The 17032-nt window shown below is 38.2% G+C and overlaps 1 long non-coding RNA gene across 1 annotated transcript in view; it reads left to right on the top strand.

The window, feature by feature from the left end:
* LINC00379 (long intergenic non-protein coding RNA 379) overlaps positions 1–17032 on the top strand; it is an 84086-nt gene that overhangs the window by 14373 nt on the left and 52681 nt on the right. The window contains exon 2 of the long non-coding RNA NR_047004.1: positions 3246–3312. This is a non-coding gene — a long non-coding RNA (long intergenic non-protein coding RNA 379). The remainder of the gene's footprint in view (positions 1–3245; positions 3313–17032) is intronic.

Below are 17032 nucleotides of genomic sequence, written 5' to 3'. Positions count from 1 at the left end.
TAACACATGGGAATTCTGACAGGTACTAAAACATGAATGAACTTTGAAGACATTATGCTAGCTGCCATAAAAGAGTCATAAATGGACGAATATTGTATGAGCCAACTTATATGAGGTAACTAGAGTAGTCAAATTCGTAGAGATAGAAAAGAGAATGGTAGTTGTCAGTAGCTGGGAGGAGTGAGAATGAAAAGTTAGAGTTTAGTGGTTACAGAGTTTCTGTTTGGGAAGATGAAAACGTTCTAGAGATGAATGGTTGCTATGTTGCAGAACAATGTGAATACGCTAATGCCACAAAACTTCACACTTTAAAATAGTTCAGATGGTATTTTGTATTATGTATACTTTACTAGAATAAAATATTTTTCAGTTATTAACAAAATCTTAGTTGTGATATTAACATGCTGATTTATTAAAAGCCTGTAACACTATTATTAATATACATAAATTATATTTGTATATTTTAATCATATAGAATTACACATAATTTTTAAAATTATATATTCTATAATGTATTAGTGCCTAAATAATAAACAATGTGAAATTCTTCACATTGAAGACCAAAGGTATGAAACGTGTGTTTTATATGACAACAATCTAGATTGTGGCATATATCAAATATATTGATTAGCCAATTCAAATATTTTGTAATGACTAAATAGTTACAGCCATGGAAGTAGGGGTGGATTTTGTCAGAAGAGTAAAAAATAGGGAACATTTCAGATGGTAATATTCATGGTAATTTAGAGAATTCAAATCAGAAGTCAATCATGGAACCCAGTCAGATCCATGGAGTACCAGTACCCGGAGGGTGGTCATCAAAATTGAAATGAGACTTGGGGCACAGGGAGAGACATTTGAACCATGTGAGTTCAGGAAGCACTTCCTCGTACCAGTGGCCCAGAAGGAGTGGTTTAGAAGGAGACAAGAACGAATTGAAGCCCATGAAAAAGCAGCAAATGTCTTGGCAACTTGTAGAAAATTACATTTGCTTTCACCTCTTCCCCTCCTGAGGAAAAACTGCTTCTGTGCATTTTCAGGGGAATCCCTTTCCATGTGAGAGAGGAATTCTCATGGCTTTCACCTGCTTTGGGATGTTGCTTCCTAATTATCCTTTGCCATCTTTCTCCCCACTCTCTCTTTTACACCCTTCTCTTGATTATGACGAAATCAAGTTTATCCACAAAAATGCTACCCTAAGCCTTCCTGCTAATTTTTATTTTAAAGTTATCTAGTTGATTCCTTTTTCAATCTTATAAATTTTTTAATTCCCTGAAAATAACCACATGTATTGAACTCAAAATGTTATAGTTTCTGTAACTCTTGGTTTGCATAAACCCTAAAATGAAGTAATGTGTACATTAATTATATGCTTTGCCATTTACTTGTGGTTTCTGTGAAAGCAAATGCCACTATTTTTAGTTCCTGATCTTAAAATTACTCTTTCTCAAATGCTGTTAAACCTTAATGAATATCCAAATTCATATAAATTATTTAAGCTATAATTTCCTATACTAAACAGTCATTAGATTAACGTACATCCTTAGGGCTCTTCCCAGCTGTACCAAATTAGCTTTTTTTGAATACTTTTAGATTTGAAGCAATGCAGAAAGTATTGCTCTTCTAAGTTGTCTTATAAGGTTACAAACAGCAATTTGACTTAAAAATGCCATTGAGAATGTTTCCTCCAGTTAGTATTCATGCAATAAAACCTCATGTTTTTCCCTAAGAATTATTGAATTTTAAAAACATATCCTAATCTTTTCATTTACATACAAGTGAGGAAACTAAGATATAGAAAGTTTGGATGAAGTCCTCAGCATTTCAAAGAAGTCTGTATATTGAAATGTTCTCTTCCTCCTTTCTTTCCTCTTCTTTTTTTTTTTCTATTAAGAAAGCAAGTACGACAGAACCATCTTAGTTTGGATAGTAATTCTCACTTACAAAAAAATGTAAACTAATTGAAATGATGGAAATCAAAAATGAAAACATTCGTTTAAATCTTTATTTTTTAAAACTAACACATATTTAAGAATGTATAAATTCCGGTGTGTATCTGTCAAGGTATTCCTGATTTTATTTTTCACTACACTCTTTTCCTGAGTGTTTTCATCCCTAGAAGACATACTCACATGGAGGAAGCATCTTCATGTTATTCCAACAAATGCATTTTTCTTAAATTTCCCCTTTCTAGCCTCTAGATATAGGGTGTCTTCCTGTTTCTATCTCACACCTTTTAGAGATTCTTTTCACATACTTCACTGTGTAGTTATTAATGTTTCTTCTCTGACAATTCTTTATTTCTCTTCCCTTGAAAGAGAACCCTGCTGCTGTCATTACTTTTCCTTCAGATTTCCTTCAGATCTCTCCTTTTGCCAGCTACCCAATTCCCAGTTTACAGGGAACCCGCTGATGGCAATATTTCTTTCCTTTATTTTTTTTGATTCAGAATACTCAGACTGCTGTTTGAATAATAATGATGATAGGTATATTGTATTTACAAATTACTGGTTATTTGGTGATTTCAATGTAATTTATGTGCATGAATTCATTAGTAGTCTCAATTTTCACACGACGTGTTGGAACAACTTGTGTTTTTTCTCAGTGAGGAAATGAAGGACGAAAGGAAGACAAGATTAGGGACTAACATTATCTATTAGCGTGATGTAGGCACAGTGTCCAATAGAATAGGGTTTGTCTTAGTCCATTTTGTGTTGCTATAAAGGAATACCCGAGGCTGGGTGTTTAATAAAGAAAAGAGATTTACTTAGCTCATGGTTCTGCAGGCTGTACAAGAAGCATGGTACCCACATCTGCTTTGGGGGAGGGCCTCAGGAAGCTTCCATTCATGGAGGAGCGGAAGTAGGCATTACATGGTGAGACAGAAGCAAGAGAAAAGAGAGAATGGTGTTAGACTCTTTTTAAGAGCCAGCTCTTGTTGGAACTTCTAGTGAGAACTCACTTAATCCTTTAAGAATGGCACCAAGTCACACATGAGGGATCCATCCACACACCTCCCGCCAGGCCTCACCTCCAACACCGTGCATCAAATTTCAACATGAGATTTGGAGGGGACAAATGCACCAACTATAACAGGGACTTTTTTGCGACAATATAATAAACATGTATTTCAAAAATTTGATAATTTCGGTAATTTTAAGAAAATGATATTAAGTGAAGACAGATTACCAGGATTTTAATTTTATTCCATGAAATTCTACTTTCAATTTTCCTTCCCCTACTAGCATTTCTAGGTGCAGACGAGGCATTTGGGGCATAGAAGATCACACTCTTCTTCCGCCATGTCTTAAGGTGGGTTTAATTTTATCTTTTTGGTTTATTACATTGCCCTTCACATTTGCATCTCAGTCTTTTATCCCAAGTTGTGGCCTGATTATAATTATGATGGATACCAAAGAAATTTTAGGAGCTATCTTAACGTTTCCTAAAAGCAGAACTTGGCATAGTGATTTTTGTGCAAATGGTCTGTTGGAAGAGTACATGCAGGAGAAAGGAAGAAAGGGAAGCAAAGCAGGGCAGGGAAGAAGCTCCCAATCAAAGCAAGATTTCAGAGGCAAACTCGGAAACTCACTCCAGCTCCCCAGAGAGAGCCCACAACACCTGAATTGCACCCATTTTGCAGTAGGGGTTTGACCTGTTGTACCTCCCTGACAGCCATTTATTGTTGACTGCCTTGGGGGCAGAGTGTAATCTCTAAGGTAAGGCAGTTCTCTGAAGTAGGAGCAGCTCTGGGCCCTCAGTAACCTTACAGCAGCTGGAGAACAGGTATTTTAGACTGGAAAAGAAGATTGGAATGTGTGTATGGTTGAACTTTGGCAGTGTAGCAAACCACCTAGAGGCTTAAAACTGCAGTGACTGAGTTCATTTCAGATTTCTTCACGTTGTTCATGTAGTGGGGCAACTGGACCATCCTGTAGGTCTCAGGAGGTTTCAGCTGATCTAAGCTGGGCTTGCCCCCATGTCTGGGGCCTTAGCTGGGATGGCTGGGGCAGTTGGCACGGCTGAGACCTCTCTTCACATAGTTTCTTATCTTCTATCATAGGGATCTGAAACTGTGACCCATGGGCCAAATCCAGTTTTTTTTCTTGTTTTTGTAAATAAAGCTTTATTGGAGTACATTATTTTATATATTGCCTGTATCTGCTTTATCAGTAAAATGAAAGAGTTAGGCAGAGACTGTACAGACACCAAAGCTAACATATTTACCATCTGACTCTTTATATAAAAAGTTTGCTGACCCCTGATTCATAAAGGTAGCTCAGGCTTGCTTGTGTGGTGGGAGAGTTCTCAGTGCAAGAGTGCAAGCTGCAAGGCTTCTTGAGATCCAGGCTTGGGGCATACACAAGGTTACTTCTGCCACATTCTGTTGGTCAAAGGAAGTCATGAGGCCAGTTCAGTGCCAAGGAATGGAGAAATAGACTCCACCTGTTGATGGGAAGAACTAAAAAAAAAAATGTGTGGCCATTGTTTGCTGTCTACCATGGTGAGGCCCCAACAACATCCCCTACAGAATTCAGCCTTGTCCCTGTCCACTGCAGGTAAGGAGACTGAGATGAAGACAGGAGATATACGTCAAATATCATACAACTTGTTAAAGGAAGAACTCAAACTAGAATCTAGGTCTCCTGATCAATATCCTGCTACTATTTGAACTCTGTCATGGTGACTTTACTATATCATTACCTGCCAGAAGCATCTATTTTTGGCTATTGAATGTTACTCCTCAGAACTTTAACAAATTCTACAACACACCAAAGAAAAATGGAATCAAACTCATGCTGAAACCTGCTTCCCCACATCCTGGATTGATGTACACCTACTCTTTGTCTCGTATTGTTTTCAAAGCCAGCTGCCTTCATTGATACTGTTTATGAAATGTATCTCCATAGATTTCAACACAAATTTATTGGCAAATTCTATTTATCTTCATTTTTTTTTCTTTAACAAGTATCTGTTAAATAGTTAGAATAAACCAAACCCTATGCTAAGTCATGGGAAATAAAAATACATCAAAATGCAGTCTGAGACCTCAAAGAGCTTTATAATGAAAAGTAGTGGTTTCCAACCTGTGTATATTACAGACCTCCAAGGATGATAGAAATGAGAGTTGCATTTTCTGTAGATTGACTCATGCTTCACAAATTACCTACATAATTACTTTTCAAAAAGGTGTGTAGATACTTTTATGACTAATAAAATACAAGTGTATGAATGTCTACTTGTTTGTCATGACATTTGCCACTCAATATTGTTAAGAGTGGCAAACTCTTAATATTTTTGAGCATGAGCCCTGAATGTCCCCACACACTGCAAGGTGTATCCCACTACTGGTGACCCATTTCTGTAGCTAGTAATACAGGCAACTGGTAGGTAAAGGGATCATAGTCTGACTTCCCTGTAAATGTGTGCTACTTGGAGAGAAGAGGACTGACTATTATTTGCTACAAAGTTTGCTACTTGCTCAAAAATAATGCTGGAGGCTAGGTACAGTGGCTCAGGCTTGTAATCCCAGGACTTTGGGAGGCCAAAGTGGGCAAATCACTTGAGCCCAGAAGTTCAGGACTAGCCTAGGCAACATGGTAAAACGCTATCTCTACAAAAAACAAGCACAAATTAGCCAGGCATGGTGGCCTGCACCTATAGTCCCAGCTACTCAGGAGGCTAAGGATTGCTTGAGCCCAAGAGATTGAGGCTGCAGTGACCCATGATCATGCCACTGTACTCTAGCCTGGGCAATAGAGCAAGGCTTTCTCAAAAAAAAAAATTAAAAAATAATGCTGAGATGATGTGCCATATGATCCAGCAATCCCACCACTGGGTCTTTATCCAAAGGAAAATAAATCAGCATATCAAAGAAATATCTAAGCTCTCATGTTTATTGCAGCACTATACATAGTAGCAAAGATATAGAATCGGCTGGGCGCAGTGGCTCACGCCTGTAATCTCAGCACTTTAGGAGGCTGAGGCGGGTGGATCATGAAGTCAGGAGTTTGAGACCAGCCTGGCCAACATGGTGAAAACCTGTCTCTACTAAAAATACAAAAATTAGCTGGGTGTGCTGGCACGTGCCTGTAATCCCATCTACTCAGGAGGCTGAGGCAGGAGAATTGCTTGAACCTGGGAGGCGGAGGTTGCAGTGAGCCGAGATCGCGCCACTGCACTCCAGCCTGGGTGACAGGACAAACAAAACAAAAAAAAGATATAGAATAAAAAAACAAAAAGAAAAGATATGGTTGATTCCATTAACAACAATGTATTTTATATTTGAAAGTAGTTAGAAGAGATGACTTGAATTGTTCCCAACATATAGAAATAAATACTTGAGGTGACAGATACCTCAAATACCATGACTTGTCCGTTACATATTCTATCTTGTAACAAAATATCACACAAACCACATAAATATCTAAAATATTATGTATCAATTAATAATTAAATTTAGTAAAAACATAATGCTGAGCCCTAGGCCCTGGATTTCTCATATGTGAGCAAACTCAGTGGACGTGAAAGACCTATCTGGGCCTGTAATATTGCTCTGGTAGTACGGGGTACAAGGGCTATAAGCCTCAATATCCTGATGTGCTTGCTCCTTATTTCGTTACCAGGATGCAAAAGTCCTTTGTCTTTGGTCTAGGAGTCTCCCGCCTCTGCCAGCATTAATGAAACAGTAACAGGCTAACTTATTAGCTTGCAAGTAGTTAAAATCTCAGACCCTTCACAGTTCATGACAGACCTGGAAATCTTCAACATTTAATTTTTTTAGCATTAAAATGATCTCTAGTACTCCATGGGCTGGAAATCATTGGTCTGAGGTCTTAGATAAATAGAACACTATCAATTAAAAGATTTATATGAGCTAAAAAGAAAAAAGGAAGGGCATTGGAGAAGAAGAGAGTAACCATGAGCAATAGTATGGTGTAGAGGAAAAGATCAGAAGTGTGGAGTAAGAGAAATGTGCCTACTTCATTGGATAAAGAAGGGATTGAGTGAGAGAATTCTGAAAAGGTTGGTTGGGACCAGACTTTGGAGCACACTGAGTGTCAGGCAACAGGGAACTCTTAAAGCTGTTCTAGCAAGAAATGACATAATTAGTTTTTCTCAGGGAAAATTAATTTTTAGTAGGGAGAGACTGGGCATGAGAGAGCAGTAAGGAAGGTATTAAAAATGCTTTAGGCACAAGTTCTAAACTATTAGTATAAGAGGAATAAGAGGTGGACAGATGAAGATATTCCATGAAGAAAGATAAAATGGTTGGCCAGGTGCAGTGGCTCATGCCTGTAATACTAGCACTTAGGAGGCCGAGGTGGGAGGATCACTTGAGGTCAGGAGTTCAAGACTAGCCTGGCCAACATGGCAAAATCTCTTCTCTACTAAAAATACAAAAATTAGCCAGGTGTGTTAGTGCATGCCTGCAATCGCAGCTACTCAGGAGACTAAGGCAGGAGAATTGTTTGAACCTGGGAGGTGGAGGTTGCAGTGAGCTGAGATCGCACTATTATACTCCAGCCTGGGCAACAGAGCAGACTCTGTATCAAAAAAAGAAAGATAAGATGGTGTTCTAATGGATTGCCTTTCAAGGGATTGAGCAAGAAAGTCAGATAGGACTGTGGGTTTAAAGTGGGAGATAGTGAAACCACTGAAAAAAACAAAAAACAAGCAAAAAAAACCCTCATATAAACCTAGAAAGAGAGAACTCCAGGGAGTTTCAGTTGTCGGGGAAGATAATGGGTTCACTTTTATTTCATTTTGATGGAGGTTGGCAATACAACCAGCCTTCCTTCTTTCCTTTCTCTCTCTGTTACTCCATCCTTCTCTTTCTTCTTTCTTTCTTTCCACCCATCTATTATTAAATATTTAGCTTTTTGCCAGTCATGTGCTAAGACTTCAGAATAGAAATAAAAATTTTACGATCTAAGAGTGTAAAAAGGTGGATTTAAAACTTCAATATAAGGTGATGAGTTAAATAATAGAGATAATACATGCTATGAGTATAGAAAAGGAACAGCAAGCTCTGTCCAAGGGAATTGAGGAAACCATCCCAGTGGAGGTGATAATTGAGTTGGGAATGAAATGCTGGGTAGGAGCTTATCAGTGTGAATAGGGATAAGAAGAGGACATTCCAAAGCATGGGAATAGAGAATATGTGCATGGTACAACAAGGTAGAAAACATATTCAAGGAGTCTATGATGAAGGATTGGAAAAATAACTTGGCATGTCATTCTATGATATTATACTAGCTCCAACTTGGACACAATGATAACAGCTTATCTTTCTATGTGTTTACTATGTGCCATGCCTCTTATTTAAAAATGTTTTACAGGCATTACTTTTTCTAATACTCAAAATGGTGGTACAGGGTTACAGGTGAAGAAACCTAGACTAAGAACTTGACTAAGTTCATGGAGTTTATGAATGGTGGGGGTGGATTTGAACTACATCAGAGCTAGGATACCATTCTCTTTATCCTCCCTCTGTGTGGAGCTGTGCACAATGACCCTGAACCATCCAAACCCGGTTCCAGAATTGCTCTTCATCATCATGTTATACATTATCACATTCCCTTTTTATCTTGCTTATCTTATTCCTACCTACATTATCACCTTCTTAAATTGAATGAAACTTCTGTGCATCTTCTGAAACATGCAGAACTGAAGGGAACGTACGTGGATTTTTCCGGAGAGATCATCAGATTCTCAAAGGGATATGTAACAACAACAACACTACTACTATTACAAAGATTAAAAATCATTATACAAAATGGTCAACTTTAATTATTGGATGGATATTTCTGTTTTTTTTTTTTTTTGACAGAAAATCAGGAAAACAAAATAAGAGGCAGTTTTCTCAAAACATGGTCAATCATTACTCAACATAAAACCCCAATGTATATTTCAATTTGTGGTAAATCATTCAGGGTAGCAGAACTTTTCAAGTTATCTCTGCTAACTTTTCAAGTTAGTTTCTGTCTTTTGTGAAATCGAAAGAGTGATGAGGCTTCACAGTCCCTTATGGGCGATGACATTTACTATCCTGAACAGGCAGACAATCAGTAAGTGGTTCCCCCCACCCCCCCCCCACCGTTTTATTCTTTTTTTTTTTAATATTTCCACATTATTTTTGAAGCTGAATTAGAAATGCAATGCTGACTTTTTTCCTGAGTATTTTAGATATTCTTACAAAGAAGTGGAGAGAGCTTTAGATGCTAAAAACATTAGCTGGCAAGTTTTTTCTTGCACTCTTCACATTAAGCGTGTGATAAAAGGCCCACTTGAGGGCTGTGTTCAGTGCCTAAAGTGAATGCTTTAAATTTAATGATACAATCGAAATCATTTTTCCCTAGTAACTACTATTGTGTTCATTTAAATGGATTCCAGAACATTATGCTTTGTGTATAAATATAAGTGAGATGGTTTAGTTCATGTATAACAAGTATCCAGCTAATAATTTACTTTGCCCATTATTTATCTCTGTCAGGATGAATGTCTGCCTCTTTTCTGTCCCTGGTTCATAGCCATTATTTTAATAATGTTAGTTCTGCATTTTAAGAATTCCACATGTAGTTGCTGAAAATTGCTCAGAAGTACTTCATACCAGAAGGTTAAATCTTAAAGAATTTTGGTTTTGCATCTAGCAAGCTAAATTGCTCCTAACAACATTATATTAATTAATGTCAGGTCAAGCTATTTCTTTTCCTTGTATTCAATTCCAAATACCCCAGCAAATGGTTTCAGCTGTGCCAGCAACAAACTGATTTGAACAGTAGAGGCTGAATGGACTCAAATCACTTGCTATTTTGAAAATAGCTATTAATTTCAAATTTGACAGTATTTTATCAGTTTTCAGAATCACTTTTAATAATAATTCAACTCTTTCTTAAAAACTGGCTTGAAATTGCATAAATACCATCTTTTCCTATTTTGTCTAAATACATGCATGAATGTCATAAGATGGAATTGGTCAATATGTAGGGACGGATCTATCCCTGGATGGTTTTCTGCCCTTTATAAACAGTCATCCTACTTTTTAATTTTGTCAGCCTTAGAAGAGCGACAAAGCAAGCAGATCTAAGGGCAATGGGGAAGGGAGGATGCTGGGTGGATAAATCATGGCAAGTTCATCTCTTACTTAGGGATCCTCTTTTCTGGCCCTGAAATTTTGTCCTGGGCACTGCTCAGATTGTCTTTCCATATGCCATATGGGATGGAGCCATGTCTCAGGCCCACTCATGATGTGAGAACTATCCTTGTGAAACTGATTAACCAATGGGGTCTACTCGTGGTTTAGTTATACTAACCAAAGTGTTCTTACTTTGGGGAAGTTGGGGAAGTTGAAGGATCAAATGAGCTTTAAGCCATGAATTGGATTCTTCTAGGTGTAATATGTATGTGGTTATTATAGCACTAGTTATCTAAAACTTGCTCAATCATGTTGACAAGAATGAATATATCAGTTTTGTTTTGCTTTTTCTTCTTCTTCTTTTTTTTTTTTTTTTTTGGAGACAGAGTCTCGCTGTATACCCCAGGCTGGAGCGCAGTGGTGCCATCTTGGCTCATTGCAACATCCACCTCCTAGGTTCAAGCGATTCTCATGCCTCAGCCTCCCGAGTAGCTGGGATTACAGGTGCCTGCCACCATGCCTGGATAGTTTTTGTATTTTTAGTAGAGTCGGGGTTTCATCATGTTGGCCAGGCTGGTCTCGAACTCCTGACCCCAGGTGATCCACCTGCCTTGGCCTCCCAAAATGCTGGGATTACAAGCGTGAGCCACCACACCCAGCTGAATACGTAATTTTTGGAAGTCGCGCTAAGAGGAGATTATTAGTTAACATGTAGATTATAAAAATGTAATAATTTATAAAATGTTTTAAATTTAAGTAAAGATTAAATAAACATGTAAAAACTATGGGAACTTTTCAGGAAGAGTCAAGGTTCTTTAACTTAACAATATATAAATTACCATGAATAGTTTTTCTTTTCATCTTTTATATCCGAGTTAAAAGGATCCGAGGGTCACCCAATCTTCTTGTTACCAGGAAATAATTATCAATCAACTATCAAGAAATAATCCAAGAGAGGTAAAAGTAGAACAGCGTACACATTTACATTGATATATGTATGTAAAAGTGAAAATAGACCATACTCTTTTTTTTCTTTTTTTTTAAAGATGGAGTCTCACTCTGTTGCCCAGGCTGGAGTGTACTGGTGTTGTCATAGCTAACTGCAGCCTCAAACTCCTGGGCTCAAGTGATCCTCACTCCTTAGCCTTCTAAGCAGCTGGGATAACAGACGTGAGTGAATCGTGCCTAGCATAGATTATACTTTTCTTTATGAATACAGTACCTGGTCTTTTTGTCACACTTTAGACTTTGTTTAGCTTCTGCATTTTTATTTGGTATATTTCTCCAGGCCAAGGAAAGACATGTTTTATCAATACACTTCTCAAGAAGAAGCAAGAGAGGAAAAAAAATCTAAAGAGATTTAAATAGAAAGCAAAATAAATATTGGTTATTTCAGTAGGGTTTTACTAACAGTATTTTGTGATGTTGGTCTTATATCTTGTGGGAGGTTATAATGAAATCAGTTTTTGTAATGACTATGCCACCATACCCTGAAACTAAGGTGCCTAAAGCTGGACTGTAATGCTAAAGAGCCACAGTCTCTTGTTACTTTCTAAAGTTTATCTCACAATGATTGATACAGTTACAGGATCCTAGTTGATAATACAATTTGTGCTGCCATTTCTGTTAATAATGTTGGAGGACAGCACCAGGACACATTCAGTCTAAAATAAATTTGGATTTCTCCATTGGGCATTAGATGGCAGTATTAATCAAGACATTCAGAGCTGACTTACGCTGCAGCTATTTCTAAAGATACTCATAATTCTCCTATGAGCGTTTCATGAAATAGGTATTTATCCTGCATTTTCTACTTCTGCAAAGAGAAAGCATAAAATGGACTGCAGGTCTGGTTTTGTAATCTTTTGCATCTTATATTTATTTTTGCTTTAGGGAGGTTCCTAGAGGACAAGTGACTTTATTTCCAGTTAATTATCACTAATGTGTCCAAAATGTTTCTTGTACAATTTTCAGTTCTTCTTTTCTTGTGCATATAAATTTATATATGTCAATGATTACAATTTCAGAGTTAGAGAATGCTCAATATTAAGAAGTATTTATAATGGTTACATAAACATGGGTTTATCATGCCATTTGAAAGAGAGCAGAGCACTAGAAGGCGTGCTCAGCAGCTTATTAGCCATGTCTATGGGCAATCTATTTAACCCCTCTGTGCCTAACATTCCTAACCTGTAAAATGCAGATAATACTGGTTTCCATCTCAAGGTGTTGCTGTTGAGGACTGAGTGAATTATTACATGTAAAGTGCTTAGAACAGTAGCTGGTATTATATAAATATAATATAGTAGCTTGCATTATATAACACTTAGAGCAAAAGTGTTATATAAATATTTGCTGTTTTTAAGGGGGAAGTGGGATGGAGGTGCCACTGTATGTGTAATAATAACCCTTCTAGAGTGTGTTTCTGTTCTGCAGTGCACAACATGTCAAGAATGCAGTTCATACAAAGTGAGGTCTTGTGGCTGCTGTAACCAGGCGGGTTGATGTTCAATGGGGCTAAACAGGTGGCAACATAGCTTACTTGCCAAACAATGGGGGATTCTTTTTGGTGATGACCAAACTCAGAGGTGACTCCTCCGACCATAAGTGTTATGGAATCAGGTTCCCTCCATCCCTGCCACAACACAGAGCAAACGACACAGATCTGGCAGCGCTGAGGGGTGTCAGGCTCAGAGCTCTCCCAGAGGAACAAGAAGCTACGGTATGCACACATTGAGAGAGAAGCCACTTTCTGGGACATGAGTAATCCTTGGCAGGCATTCAGAAGAGCACTTTGGAGGAGAGTTTGAAGATCATTTACCATGGTATACAAAGACTCGGATATTGAAATGTGAACTTTTGAGATATTGTAGATAACATCTAAGACTTCTCAGCCCTGATGCTGGGAGGCATTTGACACCCCCCTCACCCTGAAGGGCAGAATAATAACATTGTGGGGAACTTGGAAGATGGTAAGCAAACCCCAGAGATCCAAAGAGAAGAACTATAGCTCAGATCCTTAGCATCGTACATGGCTAAGGGTTTTGACCAATCCTCTGTGAGGAGAAAGTATATTTTCTATAATGTGCATGATAAAAAATAATAGCTAACGCTTTAAAAAACTATGTGCATGCCAAACACTTTGCTTGCATTATTTCATTAAATTCACATTAACATTAAGGTATGTGTTTTTCCATTACGCTCCTCAGGAGAAAACTGAAGCTAAGAGATGTTAAGTAACTGCAGGTTGTATAACTGAATTAACTAATTCAGTGCCAGTACATACATTAACTGATTAGTAAAACAGAATATAAGTCTTTTATCATATTAGTTCAGTCCTTCTCCATGAAGTCTTTTATAGGTTCAGAAAACTCTAAGTTGAGGGACCCCTCTATGTAATTTTATAGATACCTTTGGATTGCTACAGATGCAATAGGTCTGAAAGGATTTTCCCTGGAGATCTCAGTAAAGGCACTGGGTCCCAGAACAGACAAAGGAAGCAGCTTTCTTTATAGAATATTAGGTAGTGCTACATGTATGTGTCTCTGTATACAAAGACACACACACATATATTTATATGTATATGTGAATGATTGTATTCATTGCATGTGGAACTCGCCTTCTTTATGCCTGATATGTCATCCAATCAAAATTAAGTGTAGGATAATTTTCACCATTCAAATGCTGGGATTTTAAGAGCTCTACACTTGACTTAAAGTCTTATGTCTTTTAATTTTCCAAGACATAGCGTTCACTTTAATGTATAAATTTGACCTCGTCTGCCCTCATTACTCCCATCGTCTATATTATCAAATGGAACAACTTCAGATTCCATCGTTAACATCTATTAATGGAATTCTGGTTTTTCATCTAAATGCTCCCAAGTTAACCTTTCTAATAAGGAGTTAAGCACCTCATTTAAGCAAGAATTTTTTAACTTCAAGTGATCTGAATGAAAATATCATTTTAACTTTCCCTGACATCCTCTTTCCTTTTATATTCCATAAAATTTATCATTAGCTTTCAATGAAGCTTCCAGTAATGTTTTTTTTTCTTGTGCTTGCATCTGACACTAAATACAAAAAAAAAAAAATGTGACTCATCTGCCACAGTGGTTGGGTATAATGTCTGAAACCACTGTTTACAAGGTCCATTAGTGTTTACAGCCCTGCCACTTTCCTTCATGGTCTGCAAAGCATTTTAGTTCAGACTGAGTTATTCTTTCATAGCAACAAATTTTCTATATCTCTTGGATATCTCTTCAGTGTAGAAAACTCCAAAGGGAGTTCTGCTGTCTTCTGTGTGAAGGCCAGGTAATACATTAATGTTGCAGTTCAGCACAGCCCAGTACACTATGATTTGTTTGTGATGCAAGGTGAGCTGTGCATCCGGAACTCCAAAGTCAAAATGGTATCAGAGATGATGCTGTCTAATTTCTACTAAACTGTCCAAAAGCTTGGTGTATTTTTCCTATCACACAATTCTGTTTTTCTTTAATAATCTCTGGTGTCATCACCACTTCAGGTCCTCCATACCCGTAAATATGCTATGCATGAACATGTACACACATGGTAAAATGTGATTTGGAGGGAGACAGATCTTGGGCTAAAACTTTGTCTACAATATTCATCTATAAAAAGAGTAATATAATACTTAGTACCCAAGGAGTCAAGCAAGGCCAGGACTAGAGCGAGGGAAGAGAGGAGCCGATAGAGAAGGCCCTTGCAGGATCTTGAGTGAATTCCTCCTTACATTGTGTGCCCAAGGTGCCTCTCGCTTTGCCCTGGTGCCATGATGCTAGTGTCAAGAAACGTGAAGGGTCTGAGATTTTATCTTACTTGCAAGCTAACAAGTTAGCCTACTTCGGTTTCATGGATGCTGGCAAAAAACAAAAGATCCCTGGGCCAAAGACTGAGGACTCATGGCATATGGAGCAGCCAGAGCTTCACATTCGTGCTAGTTCCCTTGCCGCCCAAGTCTGCTCTGTAATGGTGAGCAGCCTAGGTGGATGCTGTGTCCTAAGTGGGTTTGTCACATAGCTCAGGAATTCCAGGCTTAAAGAATCCACATCTTTTATTATGGTGTGCAAGCAAAGCTGCCTGACCTTTGTCCCAGACTAAGATATTATCTTCATTATATTGGGCAGTAGAAAAGAAGAAGAAAAAAAAAAAAGCAGTGACAACAAAAACCAACCAAACACAACCCCTGCCCTCTGCTCTGGAAGGAGACACCATTTTATCTTTCAAGGCTGTTTGCTATACGAAGATACTCTGGAACTAAAGCTGTGAGTGACTTTGCTCATAACCTGTTTACAATTATCAGAGACTCATGGAGAATTGTCTACTAACATAAGGTTTTATATGACTAAATGAAACAGTGTTGATAAAGCCCTCAGTACCCATACTCAGTATGGGTAAATAGATGGCGCACCGACATGGCTAGCCTAGGGAACGTAATAGGAGCTCAATAAACATTAGCTCACTTTTTATTCCTTCCTCTCCACTCTGAAGCACAGTGCGACTTACATCATTTTGCTACAACCAGAGGGTTAATTGAAGGTAGGAACCATATTTTGTTTCTTCTACTATGGAAAATCATTTTCAGTTGGTTTCTGATTACTTTATGTCTGCATGTGAATCCAGTTGAGTCAACCACTACTGAGATCATGTGAATGGCTGCTATTCTCTACTTCAGGACCAATCAATTGAATCATTGATTATGAATCAATCCTCACTAAAGCAGACCATGTTGGAGTAGTCTTGACCTACCAGGCTTACCGATGCAGATCTAGTAACCAGTATCAGAGACTGGTGGATTACTGGGCAACTTATTTGCTCTCTGATCCATTTCCCTCCCTTTGCCCTGTGTAGTATAATATTGACTCCTGCCACCTGCATTTCTCTAGCTTCTTATCCAATCAGCTTCCAGCTGGGTTTGGCCAGTGAGAAAAAGAGGAAGGAGATAGAAGGAGAGAAAGAGAGTAGAAGCCAGGGAATTTCTCTCACCCCTAACCTTCCTATTTTGGATGGATTTCTAACTATAGTTGTATCAACTATACTTTTAGCTTTGCTAGGCAGCACCACCCTCTATAATCCCACATCCTCATGGGCAGCCCTAACTCTTATGTTCTATTAGCCCTATCTTCTCCCTCTGGTTCTCCAAACCCATAGGTGGTAGTATCTCCCTGCTATTGCCTGGGTTGCCGCTCCAATTCCACACTTGACCACTTTTTTTGCCCTGTGTAATTATCTCATAGAGGTTCTATTTCTTGACTGGTTTCTGTTCTGATAAACTTAGATATCTATACATTTTCTTATAATACTTTCTTCTAGACTTTTCCGAGGTGGTCCAGCCTGTTGACCATGATTCCATCTTGAATCCTTTATTGCCTTGGGAGTTATTTGGTTGTAGAAAAGAGAAAGGAATTTAAGCTAGCTTCATTGAAGGGGAATATATTGTAAGGATGTTGGATATTTTTCCAGAAACACAAAGTGGGACATGCAATCAATCTGCCTTGTCTGCTCTAATAGCTGATTTTCTTGAATGGGGATAGATTTAATCTGGTCCTTTGGGGTTGATTTTGAGGAGGAGGGCCAAAGCAAGGAAATCTTTCAACCTAGAATTTCATTACTGTTCAGCTGAACTATATATACTAAGGAGCCAGTCCAGTATGGGAACTGGGTAGGTGTTGACAGGAGCATCAAGAGGCAACCAGGGAAGGCCCAACATGCTAAGTAGACCTGATTATGGGAGTAGTTGGCTATATGTCCCAGCTAGGAAGACCCTTATCTTAGTAATATGCACCCACAGGGGGAAAGCATGGCCTTTAAAAACATTCATCAAACTAATATCTATAGGAATATTAATGTGATACTAGTGGCTACAGATACCTAG

Source organism: Homo sapiens, chromosome 13 (genome assembly GCF_000001405.40).
Source record: "Homo sapiens chromosome 13, GRCh38.p14 Primary Assembly".
NCBI classification, from domain to species: domain Eukaryota; kingdom Metazoa; phylum Chordata; class Mammalia; order Primates; family Hominidae; genus Homo; species Homo sapiens.
Note: the sequence above shows the minus strand (reverse complement) of the source record. Positions and strands in the feature narration are given on the sequence as shown.